Below are 21,727 nucleotides of genomic sequence, written 5' to 3'. Positions count from 1 at the left end.
TTGTTATCTAAAGAACGTTATTTCTTTTTTATATATATTTTTAATTTAAAAACATTATACTTTAGGTTCTGCGATACATGTGCAGAACGTGCAGGTTTGTTACATAGGTATACACATGCCATGGTGATTTGCTGTGTCCACCAACCCATCATCTACATTAGGTATTTTTCCTAATGCTATTCCTTCCCTACCCCCCAACCCCCTGACAGGCCCTGGTGTGTGATGTTCCCCTCCCTGAGTCCAAGTGTAAAGAACCTCATTTCTAAAGGAATGAGCTATTGAGACCCAGGCTTCTGAGCTCAGACCTCCAGCGAAGAAAGGACAAAGCCCATTCACCCTTTGGTTGACCCTTCCATATTTTCCTTTGATGCTTCCTTTTTATTTCTAGCAAACATTTCCTATTTGATTCTGCTCGGAGGTATACAAACAGGCCTCCTCATATACTCAAGTACCAGCGCTGTATGTTGGAAAGAGTTGAATAAGGCAGATGTGCATTTGCATATTGGCTGTCTCTATGACCTTCGCCTAGTTACTTCACTTCTTTAAGCTGACATTTCCACATCTGCAAAAATGTGGGCAATAATAATAACATTACAGGGTTACAGTGAAGATTAAATTAGATAACAAGATATAGAGCCTGGAACATATTATCTTATGTAATTATTATTGCCTTCCTTATGTGTTATTTTTAAAAGTGTGAGTACCTAATGTCTCAATTTCCTGAGCAAATACCTGCCACCCGACTTTGTGAAATTACAGATAAGGGCTAACATGGTTACAGGATCCAGTGTATTTGCGTAGCAAGGCTAAGGGACAATCTATTTAAAAGGGGGCAACTTCCAGGGGCTTTGTCTTGAAACTGTAAAGCAAGACATTTGCTTTTGCTTAGATTCTGTGATCTTTGTTTGCGTGGCTTGAAAGAGACTAAAAGCTACCCTTCTCCCTAATCACCCCTTAATACTGCCATTGGTGGTAGGGGCCCCTATCACCAGAATTCTGTCATTAATATCTCTACCTTGCCTTGACTCCACTAAAGCCAATGAGTGTGGACATGGTTGTGATAGATACTCCTATTCATTCATTCAACAAGCAATCATGGAACACCTACGTTGCAGAAACTGTCCTTTAAGGAACTCAGATGGAACCTGCGAGTCATCTCTGGATTCTAGAACCCATGTTCTGGCTCCATGCCACTGCTGTAGACACTATCCTGTGTCATTAAACACTAAAAGCAGTGTTTTGTAAAGCAATCTCAGGTGTATCAATCCCTCATCGGCTGGCGCAGACCTCCAGCCATCCATTTCCTAAGTTTAACAGAGGAACTAAAATTCCAAGACCCAATTCCACAGTCGTTGATGAGCATAAGCACTTCAGCCATCATCTCCTCTGCGATGAAGTGGTCATTCTCTGAGGGTAGGAATAGGTTTCTTCTTTGTTTTTAATTCCAAGCCTGTAGTGTATTTCAATGTCAATTCATTTAAACTTATTTACTAGCTATCAGGCACAGGCACATCACAGAAGACAGATAAGCATCTCCACCTTCCAAAACTTGCTGTCTACATGAGTACTCTTTGACAAATTATTTGGGGTGAGTGGGGTTTCTTTAGCATGAAAATGACAACATCTATCAGTGTTTAGTGGTGAGTACAGCCCAGGGTTAGACATCAACTGTCAGCTTAGGCTGTTGTACAGAGGCATTTTTTTCCATTGTATTTTTAAGTGAAACAAGGGAAACTCCATTTCCGCTATTGGGAGTAAGGCCACTTTCTTGTGCAGGCCCCCACCGCAGCCCCTCCAGGAGAAAGTAGGTGAGCTCTCTCGGACGTGGCCTTTCCGGGGTTGGAGCCGGCAGCACCGCCCAGCAGGGCTTCCGCTCGGCGTGTGTGATGTCCTTGGCGGCCGCTAGAGGGAGGTGAGAGCCTGAGGCAGCAGCGCGAGGAGCCGCACCGCCCAGGCCACCTGGGCTCCAAGGCCCAGGACCTCGCGCCCTGGCTCAGCAGTCACTCAGCTAGATTTCGAATGCCCTGGAAAACAGCGTGAAAACAGAGTTCAATCAAAGATAGGGTTGCCAGGTAAAGTACGACAGCCCAGTTAAATCTGAATTTCAGATAAACAACAAATACAAATACTTTTTAAAAAATCGTTATCTGAAATTCATATTAAAATAAAATCCAGACTGGGTGCCCTGGACTTTTATTGACTAAATCTGGCAACTCTAACCAAAGAGCAAAGGGCCCTTGGAAAGACTGAAAGCCCTTTTAAGGTACAGAGGAGGGAAAGACAATATTTACTACCTGTTAACTGAATATTGGACAAAGTATTGCATCCCGTAGACTGGAAGAGGCTGTTCTTGTCACAGTTGGCAGAGACGCAGCCCTGCAGCCTGTGGCCTTGTCTAGGACAGACGTGAGGAAAGGTCCTCCCCACCTTAGAAAATTTCCTCCTTTATCTTCTCCAAGGCCGAATGCGTTGCTAAAGTCCTCTCTGTGTTCATTCAGGAATTTCTCCTAAAGATGCAATTATCAGAAGAACACAAACAAAGCAAAGAACACGAGCAAAATGCAAGCAAACACACACACACAAACACACAAAGAAAAATACACAGAAAAAGAAAAACACAAGTAAAGAACAGAAAAAAAAAAAAAAAAAAAGTCCGTTGACTTTTCCAGAGAGATTACTTGGCAGCTTGTTGGAAATAAGTACCAGCCTAGGAAAAACACATTAAAAGCCCAGGTGGAGAGGCAATAAAAAAGAAGGGAACAAAGCATCAAGATAAAAATGAGGGCCACAGAAAGAGTCTGCCGTTACTAATGCTACATCCCTGGTTAACAACAATATTGTCCAGGGCTGGAGCCTTTCAGAGGGTAGCTCACACCAAGTTAACAGAATGACATCTGAGCACCTGGAATGCCCCATCGTGATTGCTATTCATTGGTGGTAATAGTTTTCGCAGACTGAATAAACTCCATCAGTGAACGGAGCTCTACTGTCTTTTGGTCCTGAAGTGGAGATTAATTACAAGGGGCGTGTGCTCACCCGCAACCAGCTCCTCTCTCTTCACTGCTTGCTCGCTTTCCTTATTCAGAGTCACCAAAGGTACGGGGAATACTGAGAAGGTTCTTAGAACAAATATCTCCAGAAAGCTCATAAAAGGAGTCATTCCTCCTTTGCTTCCTTTTTCCCAAGGTCACGATCAAGCAAAAACTTCCTATTTGCAAGGAGAGGCTGCCTTAGCCTCGAGAGGAGGACATGTAAATTACTGACCTTGAAGACACTGCACTACCCTGCGGCACTGCAGACCTTTAAAAAAAAAAAACAACCCAAAAGACCAATGACGCTAATATCAAGTTAAATCAGCAGGGGGCACAATTTCTCCACAATGTGGTAAGCTGCTTTTTCTGATTAGAAGGAAAAATGCCTAAGCTGTTTCTTTGTGCTGTTTTGAATCGGCGTTACCTGATAATCCAAACATTAAAATGTCGTGCACAAATTCATTTTCCACAGAAACAGGCAACATAAGCCATCCAAAGGGAGTTGGCAAATTTACTGACAGTGCCTTGCTGATTATATCATTTCTGCATCCGTGAGTTTTTATTTTTTAAAATAAGCAACCATGGGGTGGGTGTGTTCAAAACTGTAAATACAAGCAGTGCTATGGAACCTGTGGCCACATATTTATTTAGAGTCTTTCTCTAGAAACTCCCAGCCTGACAGCGACTCCCGTTTTCTGGGTATCTAGGAAAGATGTCGTCTATTGATTTCATCAAGAATTGCAGCAGATACTTTCAGGGGCTGTGTTTTATAGCTGTCTTGCACATCTTCCAACACTTTGCGCACTCATAATGCCTCATAATCCAATTTATTATATTCTCTTTTTGATTTGTTAAAAAGAAAGAGAAATCAATGACCTTGTTTCTTAGGGTTTCCATATGTGTGACATGGAATGATCTAGCAATGCCCAAGTGTCGGCTCCTGTATTTGTACCTGGCCCTGGCTCAGTGCTGTTTGATATTACTGTATTTCTCTTGGCATTCATTTTACCACCTTTGGGGGGAAAAAAGTTAGGAATATCAGAAGAATTCAGGAAATCTTATCACTAAAGGGTTAAAGTGTTCTTCAAAATTATTACTGTTAAATGCAGTATTAATAACAGACTACAGTCATGTAGAACTCACTGTGTTTTAGGCTTGATTCCTTTGTATTTATTAACTCATCAACAAAAAAAGAAAGGGGTTAAGAAATTTGCCAAAATTCACTTATGTAGTAAGTGAGGCAGAAATTTAAACACATGCAGTTTGGCTGTAAACACTATGTGCAAGGTGTATGATTTAAAATTTTTAATTTTTAATAAGTAATAATTCACAGGTAGATTATTATTTTTAATTCATGGATTTTTAAAATAAAAATGTTATACGTTGAGTTTTGCTTCTATTCTATCCACCCGGTCAGCCCCCCTCCTTACAGTATACCTTTCCAGTACTTTATGCAGTTGCAAACCAAAACAAATACATATTCTTTTCCTCTTCTTTATGACACTATGGGCATCATAATGTGTTCACTATTCTGAACTTTTCTTCTGAGCCATCTATCCTGGATACCTTCCCACAATGTAACAGAGAGGCTGTCTTCATTCTTTTTCAGCACCTAGTGTTCCATTTTGAGGACATACTGCACTTTATTTAACCAGTCCTCTCTTTATGGAAATGGGTTGTTTCTTAGGCTATTACAAACAATACCATAACACATCACTTGTGCATGTCATTTTGTAACTGTGCAGAGATTTCCATAGGATAAACTCCCTGTTATAGGTTAATTGAGTTAAAGGGTGAAAGCATCTGTAATACTGTATGGAAACTGCTACATGGTCCCCTCTCAGAGCTGTACCACTTGGGTTCCTACAGAAATGTTGAAAGTGCCTGCTTTCCCACAGTCTCACTAACAGAGTATATTACAGAATTTTTGGATTTTTGCCAACACGATAAGTGAGAATGGCTTCTCACTTATCATTTCTTTGCATTTTTAAAAGTATGGGTAAGGTTGTGTGTCATCTCACTAAGGGTCATTTTTATGTGAACTGTCTGTTCATGTCCTCGCTCATTTATCTTTTGGCTGATTGATCTTTTTCATCTCAATTTATAACGGTTTACATATTAAGGAAATAAATCATATTTATATGATAAGAGTTGCAGATATTTTTCCTGGTTTGAATTTGCTTTTTACCTGTGTCTTTGTTTTGGACCATAAATGCACTTTTTATTTTGATGTGCTTCAATGAAGATATAGAACTTAATTACATTATTAATTATGCATGTTTTAAATAGTTTTTTGACAGCCATCAAGGAAGGTATAAATAGATTTTATTCAACAAAAACATGTTAAGAACTTACTACTGTGCATTCTACTTTGTGCTAAGTGTTTGGAACAAAACTGTTCCCCTGGAAAATTTCCTAATGTAGTGGGTAAGACAACTGTCTCAGTAAATAATTCCAGTGTGCCAGTGGTAAGCATTATAATAAACACATGAAAAAGAAAATTATTTTTAAGCAGCATCTTGAGGGATATTTAGGAGTTAGGTAGGAGAGAAGGAAAAGGTAGGCTAAGTTCTCATAGCCTAGCTCCTGAGGGATTAGTTCCTATCTTAGCATTTGAATAACTTTCTACCCTCCAGACAAAGTAGGTTGGCTTTTTCTTGTATCAATTTCCCAAACGCAGGCAATAATCCCAATTATCTCTTACTTAAACAAGATGGGATATAGTAGTACTCTTACCTGAAAGAAATTTATTTTATTTGGAATACTGCAAAGGTGGGTAAGCTTATGGTGGCATCAGACTCTCAATGTTCACATAATGTCATTTTGCTTCTAAACATTTGATGTTGTCAGGTAAGAAAAGGAAGGAGTTCAGGTGCTGGTGCATTTATAGTCCTTGATCGTGACAACTCTCAACTGTTTTCTTTCAGATTGGATTTACAGTTTCTGAAGAACTGGAAATTGTGTTTGCAATGCCCCAGTTATTCACTGGTCAGTTCAAATATGAGATATAATTGATGTGCAAGCAAGAAGAGATAGTAGAGTCAGCGACTGACAGGTCTTCCCTACTGAGCTGGGATAAGAGGCTGGGACTGGCAACACTGGTTCAAATGGCAGATACAACTTGTTGCCTATCCAACTTATACTCTTCTTATGTCCCACCAATGAAACTCATGTTTGGTTCAGAAAGGTAAGGAGACCAGCCCAAATGTGTACTCTGACGAGTCTGGTCTAGTGTAGGCCCATCATGCTGATCTAGCTCCTCTTTTTCAGAAACTATTTTTTTTTTTTTTAAGCTCAGGGTATTATGATCCTGTTATGGCCAATGGTGCACAAGGTGAAGTCTGCTGGAGTATTTCTGAGAGAGCTTTTGCTTTCATAATAAAGCAGACAGATGATGATTCCTGCTTTCACTGCTTCATCTTGCCTTAAATGCAGATGTGATTTGATATCCAGAACCAGAACAGCCATCTTAGGACGAAGATGACTGAGAAATTTTCGCAGTGGATCAGCCCTGACATCATGTCGCTGACTTAACAGTTGCCTGTGTCCTGACTTCTTGGCATGTGAGGAAAGGAGACATCCCTTCTTTCTTAAGCTGGTTGAGTTTTCTACCAAGCAGCCAGGCAGTCACTAAGCAATAGCATGGGGGCGGCTGCTAGCTTTGCTGGCCATATTTCTAGAGATTCGGCTGGTAAGGAGACAACAAGCCAAAATGGATTTAGCCAATCTATAACTCATATAGACAGCATAAAAGATCAGCATGGTGTCAGCTACCTGCCACCATTGTTCCACAGGATGACACCAAGCCAAGGAGGGAGATGATGGGGAGCACAAGCAGTGGGTCACTCCTCACCCTGTGACTGAGAAGTCAACAACTCTAGGCTCCAGCCAAGCACTTTTATAGTCTGCAACAGTTCCTGAAGAAGGGGGACAGATGGAAAGTCCCATACCTCACCAGAACCAGGAAAACAGATGGGAAATGACCTTGTGACAACCTCCCACAAGGTAGGGAGGTGAATGGCAACAGCCTTGACAGCACCGCACGGAACTGCCACTCATGCCAAATTCCTGAGAACATGACAAGGTGTTCGTTCACCAAGCCAAGTCAGGCTGCAGCTGAGCCTCACCTCCAGGGCCTGTGTGGAGACCTGCAAGGGTGCCAGGAAGCCATTCCCTTAAAAATTGCAGATAAAAACATTTCTAATTGAGAAAACTCTTATCCCAAGGAGGTATGAGGGAAAGGAACTAATCTTATGGAAGAACAAAGGTTTTCCAGAGGAATAATACCTTCTCTTTATTTTTTTTATTTTTTGCTGAAATAGTTCCCAGTATCTCATAAGACTGATTACCAGGACACTTCACTGTATACAAAGGCAGTGTTGAAAGCATTTCCAGACATTTCCAAGGGCAGATGCCAAGGTCATGCATGACTGTGTCTGTGTGTGTAAATGTGTGTGTGCTAAGCATTCATTAGCAACCAATCTCATAGACCCCAGAGCAGCGTATCAACATGCTTCCTGCAGCTGCCCTTCAGAAGTGATGTGTATAATTACACATTCAAATTCATCCCCAGCCACCCACACTGGTTTGTTTCACTCTTATTTCCTAAATATATAATGCAGGTTTTGAAATATAAAATTCCAATGTTAACAAGCCTTAAAAGAAACCATTTTACAGCCTTTGCCTTTTCATGCCTGACAGAAAAGCTCACATAACTACAAGTGCAAAGCACAGGTAACACTGCTTCTTCATTTATCCCTTCAAACCACAAGATGTGGGAGATGTTATTGTTATTTGTGACATTCATGTCATATCACCTTAATGTCTTGAAGTAGAATTTATGTCTGTATATGATTCATCCTAGCTATCTACAGGGATAAAAATGAGATGACTTCATTACTGTGGAATAGAACAGATGATCTTAGAGCTGAAGGGAACCTAAAGATCCCACACTCTAACCCTCTAATTTAATTTCACTAGTGAAGGTAAAGTGATTTACCCCATAGTCTCCTCTTATGAACCCAAAACAAGACACACGTGGAAGTCCCTGGGCTGCCCCTCCACTCCCACCCCATGCCCTGTCCTATACCCTAAAGTGTCTGGGAGCATGCATGTGAATATCCTAGCCTGCACAATCAGGCTGTTCTATTACTAAGCTCTTAATGATTTTTTTTTAGCCCCTTTTAATCATTGTCCTCAAAAGGCGATGCCTGAAAAATGTCTTTAAGTTCTGATTTGCAACCCTGTAAAAATGATCCCACTGAGTAAGCTATTCCTTGTGATCTTTAGAATTTGCTAGAAAGACTTGATTAACTTTCTGAAGTTCCCAAAGAAGGGACAGATTCAGGAACACCAGTTGGGAGAAGTGGAGGAGGTGAGGCAAGAGGATGGAAGCAGGGAATTCAGTGAAAGTCTACATACCAAGTAGTGAGCCCCTGCCTAACTCAACCTCCATTCTCTGGTGACCAGCCTTAGCTCTCCAGCTAGGAGAGTGGAGGATGCTCTCTGGATAAACAGATTGAGCAGGAGAACAGACCTACAGATGCCAGTATTTGAGGGTCACTCAACAAAATGGCCATCTCTACCCATAATCCCACAGTGAAGCTAACCAGGAAATAAGGACTAGCCTTGAACACAGAGCTTCACTCCACTCTCAAGGGGCTCACTCTTATGAGTAAGGACTGACAAAGAGGAACAGATGTCAAGGAAGTCTTCGAGAAGCAAGGCAGAGACAAAAAAGGAAAAACTAAAGAGGAACTCAAAGGATTCAGCAACTATACAGGCAAGAAAAGTAACAGCCCCAAACACTTTATAACCACATTCCTCAGAGGGAGATGAGAATACACTATATCCATAAAACAAGAACTGGTAGGATCTTAGAAGTTAACATTTGAAAGCTGAAATCAGTAGAATTGCTAGGAGATAAATTTAAGGAAATAGACTGGTAAGCAAAACAAACAAAAGCCCCTACAGATTTCTAACAGGAAAACAGAAAAAGAAATAATAAAAAAGTTAAAGGATCAAACTAGGAAATAGATTTAATTAAGAATTTCTGGAAGAGAGAAAATGGAAAGGAGGTAATTGCTAAAGAAGTAATAAGTGACATTTCCAAGAACTAAAGGATGTTGGCTTTCAAATGCACATGAAAGCCCAGCCCCCTAAATGAGGAAAGACCAAAACCAAGGGTTTCATGGAGACTGCAATATGGCTGCAGACTGCAGTGCACACTGGTCACTGATTCGTTCTCCAGTCTCCTGCTGGCACTGGACTCTGTTCTAAAATACAGGTCATGTGTCTGGAGCTGGAGAACGTGTGAATTCTTAGTCAGGCCCAGACTACTTCAACTGTGAACTTCCTGGGAGTTGAACCCTGAGTCAGCTCAGTTGCTGACTAAGGACTTGTTTCAATTCAAATGGGTCCTTTTGCCCCTCCATTTAGCTAGGACCAGACCTGATGATTACCCCGTCTGCAGGGTGCTCTGTGGCACTCTGTTCACCACAGAAGACCCTGGATAAAGCTGCCAGCTTGGTTGGATCCCTTTTATTTTGTGATTTGGAAGGCAGGCCACCCCTCCCACGCATGTTCAATGGCAAAGTTGGTTCCTGATCTCAACCCTGACTGTTCCTAACTTATCCCTTTTCCCCGCTGGCCTCTGTACCCAATGGCTTAGCCTAGAGTGGTTATTTAAATGACATCTCATTATCTTATAGTTGAAATACACGCTGAGTATTGTTTCTGGGCCATATATTTGAGTCAGGAGACACTATAGGCCTTCAACTATATGATCTTAATAAATGAATTAATGAATGAATGGATTAACAAGATTACATTCCTAGAGAATTTGTTGGCATAAAATATTTTAATGAGTTTCTAACTAAACACATAAGCCAGATCACCCAAATGAGGTCATTTGAGTAAGAGAGGAGAGAAACCAGGAAAGCAGCACAAAAGAAGCAGACAGTGCTCCCAGCCTTACCTTCTGCAGGTATTTACTGAGGCCCACCATGGGCCAGGCACTGCCATAAGCACTGAGGGTACAATAGAGTGTAAGATAAGGTGCTTCTCTTGTGGGGCTCATCTTCCAATAGGGCACATGATAAACAATGAATACATTTTGCTCACCTGTTTTATTTCACAGAGTATGACTATTTGCCAGACAGTGCTCCCAGGGCTTTCAATAGTAACTCACTTAATTCTCACAATCTTATGAGATAGGCACTATTAACATTCCTATTTTCCAGAAGAGGAAACGGAGGAACAGGAAAATTAAGTACCTTATCCAAGGTCTTCCTCCTCCCCACCCCGCCCCCCAGCTGTCAAGTCACAGAGTCAGGCTGCACATGCAGGCCGCCAGCTTCAGGTCGTAGGCCTTACCAGCTGCCAGCCTACTGTTCTCGGGCAGTAATAGGCTCTGTGAAGACAGCAGAGTGAGGGGCTGGAAAGCCATGCGGTGCATGTGTTGCTTTAGATAAGAAGGTCAGAGAGTGTCTTTCTGAAAAGATAGCATGCCTGTTGCCCTCTGTGTGCTTTGGAGCTCAGAGGAATCTGGAAAATCGAGGACAGTGAACCTTTTCCCCTTTCCATACTCATGATTAATTTAAAAAGAAATTGGAAGTTTCTTGTTTAGCAAATGATGTCTAACTTCTGAAATTATGGCAGGGTCACAGTTGCCAGGAGTGGCATCCACAACAGCTTGCCAGGAACAGTTGCTTCTTGGGAATATTTTTATTTCCTCTGATGACTATAAATTAGATTCTGTAGGTGACACAATTCTCACCCATTTCAACTATGTGATACACTTCTTTACTTTTTTTAAAGGTGTTAGTTTATTACTCTGTGACTGTTTCTATCCTTACATTTATCCTCCCTATTTGGATTTTTTTATGGTTGCTCTAAAATATCACATCTGCAGGAAACCAGTCTCTACATTTCAACTTTCTGGGTTCTCATCATGCTGACCAGTGTCTAAATTTTATTTACATCACTTGGTAACAAAACGGCAGAACTAAAGTACCCCATCTTTCTTCAGCTATAGTGTGCTTTCTGCAGTTGGAAGACCCTTAAAAATGCACTGTTACAGTAAATATGATGAAGGCTTTCCTGGAAATGGCATGAGCACAGTGGTAGAAGCTAGCATCGTTATGTAAACTGATGTTTTCACTGTTAAATGCCATAAATTTTCATTAGGTGATCAATAGAAATGACAAGATTGCTCAGTGCTCAGCTCTGATATTTAAATTCTTTCTCCTTAATCTTAATGAAGGCATATATCACAGCAGTGGAGTGGGGTGACATTTAAGACACTGATACTCTGTGATTAGATATGGATCATTCAGAGGTTAGGCTTCAGGCTGGCCATGATTCTAACATGTTCAATATAGCAGTCGTGGTAATTGCAAAACTTATAATAATAAGAATAACAAATGATATATTGGTTTTTAGACTGCACCTTGAGCTTCTTCTCAGTTAGCCTTGCATTACATAATTGGTAGTGGGGAGGAGCTTCTATTACATATCAGGCCCTGAACACAAGGAGTGGGAGGGAGGGTAAGGGGCTTCTGGGAAGATGAAGAAACAGCGAAGAATATTAGGAGTTGCATGGAGGCAGCTGGAAATAGAATCTAAGCTTATTAGTCAAGGTTCACCAGAGAAACAGAAACCATTGATTTAAGTATTTGGCTCATGTGATTATGGAGGATGGCAAGTCCAAAATAAGCAGGATAGGCTGGAAGACTTGAGACCCAGGGAAAAGATGATGTTGCCATTTCAGTCTGAAGACCGTCAGAAGGCAGAATTCTCTCTTCCTCTGGGACTTCAGTGTTTTCTCCTAAGGCCTTCAATGGATTGAATGAACCTTACCCACATTGTGGAGTGTAACCTGCTTTATTCAAAGTCTACTGATTTAAATGGTAATCTCATGTAAAAAAAAAATACCTTCACAAAAACATTCAGACTGCTGATTGACCAAATATCTGGATACTGTGGCCTAGCCAAGTTACACATAAAATTAATCATCACATTAAGGGTCAAAGTGAAATCATCCAGTCTCATTTTATAAACCAAGCAAAAATCCCTATTACTCAGGAATTCATCTAGTCTCTACTTGAACACCTCTCAGAAGAGAACTCTCAACATTTTTTAAATTATCCATACACTTTTATTCTGAAAGAGAATCAGACCTACCAAAAATCTGTAAGATTATTACAATTGACATTCATATAGCTTTTACCTAGATTCACCTACATTTACACATATTCCCTCTCCTCATATATATATGTATGTATATATATAATTTCTGTTTTTATTCATATATATTGCTGAACTGTTAACAAGTCCAAGCTCATATCACTTGCTGCACAATAGCCAGTAAGTCAAGAGACAAGGTGTTAGGGGAAGGAAGGCGACTTTATTTTGGACAGCCAGTAAACCAAGAATATTGTGTACTGATGTCCTAAAGAACCATCTTTAGTTAACAGAATTTTAGGCCCTGTTTATGTTGGGGAAGGTGAAGAGGGAGGAGGTTGAGATCAAGAGGTGATCAATGATCACAGACATCTGGGTGGCAACAAGGATCTCAGGGAGGGTTGTGAAACTGCCTTGTCCTTGGTCAGGTCACAATGCTCCTATAAATCTTTAACATAACATGGTTCCTTGTGTGTACACCATCCTTATCTCCTCAGGGGTTTGTTTTGGGAAGGGACTATTATCCTTGCTTTAAAGGTAAACTGTAAATTCCTCCCATAATTAGTTTGGCCTATGTGCAGAAATAATCAAAAGCAGTTGACCTAAATGATATCATTGTTTAGGGTGCTAGGGGCAGTGGTGGGGTTAGGAGCAAAATGGAACTAGTCATGCTAGACTTCCTTTCACTACTACAATTTCTGCACTGTCAAAGGTCATTCCACAATCTTGTGGGATTGCAGACAAAGGGATTTTTTTCTCTCATCTGCCTATTTCTTGCTGGACAAGGTTGATGAGGGGCGACTGTAGAATAAAATAGTTTGACCCGCCTAAGGAAATAGTCCTTAGTGTTTCTTTTAGGAACAATGATCATGGGCATCTCCTTTCTTGCTTTGATAGTCAAACTCATGCAACCTTTGGTTATGCAATACATAGTAAGTTTTACTAGTACGTAGGCCGCCATGACAAAAGAAGAATATTAAGGCCCAATTTAAGAATGCTTTCCAGGATTAACTGAATTCCACTAGGAATCCCAGAGAACAGGTCTATAAACCAGTCCCTGAAAGTGCCCAGATTAATTCTGCTTTGGTGTTCTAAAGTTCGTTGAAGTCAGGTGGCCTGTTGTATAATTTTACTAATATGGGTCTCTACTTTAGAGGAGGAATTAATGTAAGTGCAACAGGTGGCTTAACCTAGGGAGGTCATTTGGTCAATAGAAATTACACTTGTAAGCTTGTGGGTTCTTATTATTTCTTTGCACATAATGTGTAATGCAGTGCTGAGTAAGAAAGAAGCATGGACCTCTGGGTACGAAGTTATCAATCAGACCCTACAGGTGATTGGAGAAACAGGCTTCAGGTTGGTGCAAGAGTAATTGCGGTTTTTGCATTGTTGAAATTTGCCATTTGATATTGGAATGCATTCTTAAATAAATGTGGTAGGACATACATTTTTATTTCACTTACTGTTTTTGTGTAAGAGTAGCTTTGGATCCTCCAAGGGCTCCCAAGCCCCTTGTTTTCCTGGTTTCTTCTGGTTGTGCTGCCTTGACCTGAGTGTGATGCACCTATGGCTTTCTTCCAGCAAGCTTAACTGATGAGTGAATATTTGACAGCACTTTGAATGGCCTTGTCAACTTGGCAGGAGGTCAGCGTTCAAGTCCTTTTTTTTTCAGAGTCTTCAGGAGGACACAGTCTCCCAGTTGAAAATGATCTAGGGCTACATCTGTGGGATGAGTGGTCCTGCTAGAAGCAAACTCATGAACAGAAGTCAGTATAGTGCCCAGAGTCTTAACATATTTGGCAACTGCTAAATCTTTGAAAGCATCAGTTGGTGGTCCCACTGGAGCAGACACCTGGAGTAGCCTACCATAAGGGACTCAATTTGAGCCTACTTCAGAGAGCCACTCTAATCCATAACAGGGCAACCAGCAATGACTTATCCCAAATCAAATTCATTTCTTGACATATTTTGACAATGCGTCTTTTGAGAGTATGGTTTATCTATTCAGTTTTTCCCATCAATTCTGATGTGATAATTGATCACAGCCAGTGCCAGAGAAAGGCAGTCTCCCAATAGATAGAAAAAGCCTGAAACTGAGGATCAGCAACTTCCCAATAAAATCTCAGGAGTTGGATGAGTAGTCTGAAGCACATGCATTAAGAGGCAAAATGGCAGAGTAACTGGTATGTGTCCTTCCTCTAGAAACACTCAACTGGTAAGGGAAGGCCCAAGTGGTGTACAATCTCAGTAAACACACTGCGATGCGGCCCCTCCCAAGTGCTGACAGGCCGCTGCACATGCAGACAGCCTACCCCAAGGGAAGAATCAGAGGAGAAGTAACACAGGACCCTGGAAGCATGCCAGTGTATAAAACCCCAAGTCAAAAGGTCAAACCATGCACTTCATCTCTCTAGTCACCTGCTTGGTCCTCTTCAAAGTGTACTTTCTTTCATTCCTGTTCTAAAGCTTTTAAATAAATTTTTCACTCCTGCTGTAAAACTTGCCTTGGTTTCTCATTCTGCCTAAGCCCCTTGGTCAAATTCTCTCTTCTGAGGAGGCAGGAATTGAGGTTGCTGGCTTCACTACTGGTAACATAATTTGGTACCACAGGAGTCAGATGCATTATGCTGCTAACATTTCCACCCCTCCGCATTTGTATATTGAAGCCCTAACCCTCAGTGTGATGGCATTAGGAGATGAGACCTTTGGGAGGTAATTAGGTTCATATGAGGTTATCAGGTGGAGTCCAGACAATGGAATTAGTGCCCTTATAAAAAGACATATCAAAGAGCTTGTTCCTTCTCTCTCTCTTTGCCATGTGAGGAGCTAGCAAGAAGGCAGCTGACTGCAAGCCAGGGAGAGAGATCTCTCTGGGAACTGAATCCTCTGGCACCTTGATCCTGGACTTCCCTGTCTACAGAACTGTGAGAAATAAACATCTATTGTTTACATCGCCCAGTCTATAACATTTTGTCATGGCAGCCCAAGCTGACTAAGAAGGGGCTTAGTAACATGGTCAATATGGGATCACATTGCTCAAAATGCCATAATGAACTTATGAGAAAAGACCAGAAAGTTAAAGGTTACACTCTATTGGAGCTGATACATATTCCCTCTCCCAAATCATACACTGACTCCCAAAATAAAAAATACTACAGCCTATTCAGTTTTAATTTGTGTATTGAGATTTTCAATTAAAAGGTATTATGGTCAGAAATCAATGAGAAGAATGCACATTCATTAAATGTATTCATTATAAGTAAATAAGTCTTAGGAAGGCCGAGTATTTCTTCTACTGCCAAAGACTTGTTCTTGATTAAAGTGTAGGTAAAATATACACGCAGGCTGACATTTTAATTCATTAAGATTCCTTTGCTTGGTTCTGGAAGTTTCAGAGACTAAAGTTTGTTACCATTGACAACATAGTATTTTCAGTAAAAGGAACTAGAAAGCAATGAAAAATCAGAAGCGAGGGGGCTTAGAGAGACGTATACCCTCTAAATATACACAAATTTCTACCCTGTATTTATTTTCAAAAGAAATAAATTTTAAGTAATGCTAATTTAACCAATGGGGAAAAAACTTTCAAAAAATATACATTCTCCATTACAAACTAGAAGGTAAATATTAAAATACAATTGTAAGCCAGTAAGTTTGCTTACACAGATAAGAGTCATTATCCCTTTGAAACACAAAGCATCAAATAATGTCTTATAAAAGATCAGTCTGTGATCTTTTTCATTTGTATGTTCTGGTAAATTCCTAAATCTTGAGTTTCAGCCTTTAGATCAAGGTATACCCATGTTTCTTAATCCAAATTAAAGAAAAAGAACTGTAAGCAAACTGGTCTATGCAAATGAGATTTGTGATAGCTGAGTTCTAATCCTGTTCCATCTGATTCTGAACATTTTGTTCTAGAAAAATTTCATCACATTTGGTATGAAAGTCTTTAATTTTAGCAAATATGTCAACCATCAAGCAAAAGTTATGGCAAAGTTTCAAACTAGTGCACAATTCAAAACTGTACAAAAACTGCAAAACCTGGTCCCACCACTTCCCAGCCTCAGTCATACACTTATATACTTAAGGTACTGGTCTACTACTCTGTAAGAAATGGTGACAACTAACTGTAGTGCCCTCTGGCTGCATCTGTGCTTATCTTCTCTGAATTATAGTTTCATTTTATTTTCATTTCATTGGCAGCCTAGTTTCTGCTCTTCATCTGATGGGCCAAATCTCAGATTCTGTAGAAAGTCCTTTGCATTAAACATGGTTATTAAAGAGGTAGTATCTGCTGGACTTACGATAATGGGTGTTTGAGATTGTTTCTTCTGGTTTAGGGGAAGTCCTGCTTGGGAAACTGATCTCAGTACTGGCTATCCTGCAGGGGTCTATGTCTTATAGACAGATGCACCCTCTGTTAGAGATTTCTGTGCCCTACCATGCTAAGTGCTGCAGTGTTGAGTTTCAAGCCTTGTTTCTTTTCCTTTGAATCTACCCTGGTCATGTCTGTTGTGTGCAGCTGGGATAGGTTTTTTGGTATAATATAACATGGGATCCACGGGTGCTGCATTTCAGTCGGTGACTGTACAAGTATATACCCTTCTTCTCTGGTCCTTACAGACTGAAAAATTGCAAAAATAGTCTTGGAAACATTTTACTGTGCTTGATTCTCCACATATACTGTCTTTGCTCACAATATCTTGGGTCATATCTAGCTCAGCATCCATAAAACTCCTCTATTTCAGGTCAGTTATATAATCATCTAAATTAGTCTTTTAAAATTTTTTTAAATTTTTAACTTCTGTAGGTGTATATGTTTTTGAGGTACATGAGATATTTTGGTACAGGCATGCAATGTGAAATAAGCACGTTATGGAATATTGGATATCCACCCCATCAAGCATTTATCCTTTGTGTTAAACGTACAATTAAATTATTATTGACTATAGTCCTGCTGTTGTGCTATCAAATACTATGTCTTATCTATTCTTTCTATTGTTTTTAACCCATTAACCATCCTCACCTCCCTGCCCCACTCCATGACTACCCTTCTCAACCTCTGGTAACCATCCTTCTATTCTCTATCTCCATGAGTTCAATTGTTTTAATTTTTACATCCCCCAAATAAGTGAGAACACGCAATGGTTGTCTTTCTGTTCCTGGCTTATTTTATTTAACATAATGACCTCTAGTTCAATCTATGTTGTTGCAAATGGTAGAATCTCATTCTTTTTTATGGCTGAATAGTACTCCATTGTGGATAAGTACCACATTTTCTTTATAGGTTAATCTGTTGTTGGAAACTTAGGTTGCTTCAAAATCTTGGCTATTGTGAACAGTGCTGCAACAAATATGGGAGTGCAGATATCTTTTTGATATAATGATTTCATTTCCTTTGAGTACATATAGAGCAGTGGGATTGCCAGATGGTATGGTAGCTCTATTTTTAGTTTTTGTGAGGAACCTCCAAACTATTCTCTATCGTGGTTGTACTAGTTCGTATGACCAACTGTGTACGAGAGTTCCTGTTTCTCCACATCCTCACCAGCATTTGTTATTGCCTGACTTTTGGATAAAATCCATTTTAACTGGGCTGAAATGATATCACATTGTAGTTTTGATTTGCATTTATCTGATGATCTGTGATGTTGAACACCTTTTCATATGCCTGTTTGACATTTATATGTCTTCTTTTAAGAAATGTGTATTAAAATCTTTTGCCTATTTTCTGATCAGATTATTAGATTTTTCTCTGTAGAGTTGTTTGAGCTTCTTATATATTCTGGTTATTAATCCTTGTCGTATGGGTAGTTTGCAAGTATTTTCCTCCATTCTGCGGGTTGTCTCTTCACTTTGTTGATTTTTTCATTTCTTGTGCAGGAGGCTTTTTAACTTGATGTGACCCCATCTGTCCATTTTTGCTTTGGTTGCCTGTGCTTTTGGGGTATTGCTGAAGAAATTTTTGCCCAGGGCAATGCCCTGGAGAGTTTCCCAAATGTTTTCCTATAGTAGTTTCATAGTTTGAGGACTTAGGTTTAAGTCTTTAATCTATTTTTATTTGATTTTTGTACATGGCAAGAGATAGGGGTCTAGTTTCTTTCTTCTGCATATGGATATCTTCTAGTCTCCCCAGTGATATGGTTTGGCTCAGTGTCCCCACCCAAATCTCATGTCGAATTGTAATTCCCAGTGTTGGAGGAGGGGCCTGATGGGAGGTGACTGAATCATAGGGGCAGACTTACCCCTTGCAATTCTTGTGATAGTGAATTCTCACACAGTCTGGTTGTTTAAGTGTGTAGCACTTTCCTCTTTTCTCTCTCTTCCTCCTTCTCTGGCCATGTAAGATGTGTCTTCTTCCCATTCACCTTCCACCATGATTGTAAGTTTCCTGAGGCCTCCCCAACCATGATTTCTGGACAGCCTGTGGAACTGTAAGTCAATTAAAGCTCTTTGCTTTATTAAATACCCAGTCTCAGGTAGTTCTGTATAGCAATACGAAAACTGACTAATACACCCAGCACCGTTTATTGAAAAGACTGTATTTATTGAAGAAATTGGGGTCAAGTTTCATTCTTCTGCAGAGATATTTAGTTTTCCCAATTTATTGAAGAGACTGTGTTTTCCCCAATGTATGTTCTTGGTACCTTTGTCAAAAATGAGTTCACTGTAGGTGTATGGATTTCTTTCTGGGTTCTCTATACTGTTGCATTGTTCTATGTGTCTGTTTTTATGCCAGTACCATACTGTTTTGGTGACTATAGCTCTGTGGTGTAACTTGAAGTCAGGTAATGTGATTCCTCAGTTTTGCTCTTTTTGCTCAGGATAGTTTTGAGTATTCTGAGTCTTTTGTAATTCTGTATAAATTTTAGAATTATTTTTTCTATTTCCATGAAGAATGTCATTGGCATTTAAATAGATTGCATTAAATCTGTAGATTGCTTTGTATAGTATGAACTTTTAACAATATTCATTCTTCCAATCCATGAACATGGAGTCTCTTTCTATTTTTTGTGTCTTCTTTAATTTCTTGAGTCAATTTCTCATAGTTATCATTATAGAGATCTTTCACTTTTTTGGTTTAGTTAATTTGTAGGCATTTTATTTTATTTGTAGCTATTGTAAATGGGATTACATCTTTGATTTATTTTTTAGATTGTTCACTGTTGGCATATAGAAATGTTACTGATTTTAGTGTGTTGATTTTGTATCATGCAACTTGACTGAATTTGCTTGTCAGTTCTAATAGTTTTTTGGTAGGGAGTCTAGATTTTTCGGAACATAAGATCATGTCATCTGCAAATAAGGATAATTTGCCTTCTTTCTTTCCAATTTGGATGCCCTTTATTTCTTTCTCTTATTAGATTGCTAGGACTTCCAGTAGTACGTTGAAAACAGTGGTGAAAGTGGGCATTCTTTTCATGTTCCAGATCTTAGAGGAAAGGCTTTCAGTTTTTCTCTATTCAGTATGATACTTGCTGTGGGTCTATCATATACGGCTTTTATTATGTTGAGGTATGTTCCTTCTATACTCAGTTTTTGAGGGTTTTGATTATTAAGGGATGCTGAACTTTATCAAATGATTTTCAGCATCAATTGAAACAATAATGTGGATTTTATTCTGTAATACATCATTCTGTTGATATGATGTATTACATTGATTGATTTGTATATGTTGAACCATGCTTGAATGCCTGGTATAAATTCCACTTGGTCATGATGGATGATCTTAATGTATTGTTTAATTCAGTTTGCTAGTATTTTGTTGAGGATTTTTGCATCAATATTCCTTGGAGATATTGGCCTGTAGTTTTCTTTTTTTTAATGTGTCTTTGTCTGGTTTTAGTATCAGAGTAATATTGGCCTATGGAATGAGCTTGTAAGTATTCCCTTTTTCTCTATTTTTCAGAAGAGTTTGAGTGGGATTAGTATTAGTTTTTCTTTAAATGTTTAGTAGAATTCAGCAGTGAATCCATCAGGCCCTGGGCTTTTCCTTACTGGGAGACTTTTCATTATGGTTTCAATCTTGTTACTGGTATGCTCAGGTTTTCTATTTCTTCATGGTTCAATCTTGGTATATTTTATGTGTCTAGGGATTTATCCATTTCCTCTACATTTTCCAATTTATTGGCCTATAGTTGCTCATAGTAGCCACTAATGATCCTTTGAATTTCTCTGGTATCAGTTGTAATGTCTCCTTTTTCATCTCTGATTTTATTTATTTGGGTCTTTTCCCTTTATTTCTTCATTGGTCTGGTTTAAGGTTGTCAACTTTATCTTTTTAAAAATAACACACTTTTTGTTTCACTGATCGTTTGTATTTTATTCTACTGATTTGGAGTTCAACCTGTTCTTGCTTTTCTAGTTCTTTAAGATGCATTGTTTGGAATTTATTTGATTTTTTTCTCTTTTTTGATATAGGCAGTTATAGCTGTAAATTTCCCTCTTTGTCTCTTCTTATAGTACTCCTTTCACTATATCCCATAGGTTTTGGTATGTTGTGTTTCCATTATCATTTGTTTCAAGATTTTTTTTCAATTTCCTTTTTAATTTCTTCATTGACTCACTGGTCACTCAGGAGCATGTTGTTTAATTTCCACGTGTTTGTATAGTTTCCAAAATTCCTCTTGTTAGTTATTTCTAGTTTTATTCCATGTGGTCAGAGAAAACGCTTGATATTATTTCAAATTTTTTGAATGTTTTAACATTTGTTTTCCAACCTAATATATGGCCTATCATTGAGAATTATCCATGAGCTGGGGAGAAGAATGTGTATTCTGCAGCCTTTGGATAAAATGTTATGTAAATATCTATGAGGTCCATTTATTCTATAGTGCAGATTAAGTCCAGTGTTTCTTTGTTAATTTTCTGTCTGGGATATCTGACCAATGCTGAAAATGGAGTGTTGAAGTCTCCAGCTATTATTTTGTTGGAGGTCTATTTCTCTAGCTCTAATAATATTTGCTTTATATATCTGAGTGTTCCAGTGTTGGGGGCATATATACTTACAATCATTATATCCTCTTGATTGACACTTTTATCATTATATAATAACCTTCCTTGTCTCTTCTTACAGTTTTTGTCTTGAAATCTGTTTTGTCTGATACACTGCAGTACAGCTACTCCTCTTTTTTGGTTTCCATTGGCATAGAATATCATTTTTCATCCCTTCATTTTCAGTCTCTGTGTATTTTTATAAGGCAAAGTGTGTTTCTTGTCAGCAACAGATCATGGGGGTCTTGTTTTTTCAACCATTCAGCCACTCTTTTTTTTATTGAAGAGTTTAGTCCATTTACATTCAATGTTGTTATTGATAAGTAAGGACTTACTCCTGCCATTTTGTTATTTGTTTTCTGGTTGTTTTGTGGTCTTCTCTTCTTTCATTTCATCCTGTCTTCCTTTTAGTGAAGGTGATTTTCTCTGGTGGTATAATTTCTTACTTTTTATTTTTTGTGTATTTGTTGTATGTTGTTCAATTTGAAGTTACTGTGGGGATTGCAAATACTATCTTA

At 39.1% G+C, this 21,727-nt stretch overlaps 1 long non-coding RNA gene and 1 pseudogene across 1 annotated transcript, besides 2 other annotated features; one reads left to right on the top strand and one right to left on the bottom strand.

Moving 5' to 3' along the window:
* Positions 1-286: 286 nt before the first annotated feature.
* Positions 287-8,935, top strand: LOC107986614 (uncharacterized). Its single transcript, XR_001744216.3, has 3 exons — positions 287-1,413; positions 3,187-3,384; positions 5,960-8,935. It is a non-coding gene; the product is annotated as an uncharacterized LOC107986614 (long non-coding RNA).
* Positions 1,704-1,813: an enhancer, noted in NCBI's record as "active region_24771". NCBI's record gives its function as "activates an Ori minimal core promoter by ATAC-STARR-seq in GM12878 lymphoblastoid cells {active_cell/tissue: GM12878}" and the evidence as "EXISTENCE:reporter gene assay evidence [ECO:0000049][PMID:35858748]".
* Positions 1,802-1,979: a silencer, noted in NCBI's record as "fragment chr6:80579415-80579592 (GRCh37/hg19 assembly coordinates)". NCBI's record gives its function as "represses an EF-1alpha promoter that drives an FKBP-Casp9 reporter gene in an ReSE screen in K562 erythroleukemia cells {active_cell/tissue: K562}" and the evidence as "EXISTENCE:reporter gene assay evidence [ECO:0000049][PMID:32094911]".
* Positions 16,042-16,993, bottom strand: LOC100422671 (cell division cycle 73, Paf1/RNA polymerase II complex component, homolog (S. cerevisiae) pseudogene; annotated as a pseudogene).

The sequence above is a fragment of the Homo sapiens genome, chromosome 6 (genome assembly GCF_000001405.40).
Source record: "Homo sapiens chromosome 6, GRCh38.p14 Primary Assembly".
NCBI classification, from domain to species: Eukaryota; Metazoa; Chordata; class Mammalia; order Primates; family Hominidae; genus Homo; species Homo sapiens.
The sequence above is the reverse complement of the archived record's forward strand: the minus strand, read 5'-3'. Positions and strand labels throughout refer to the sequence as shown.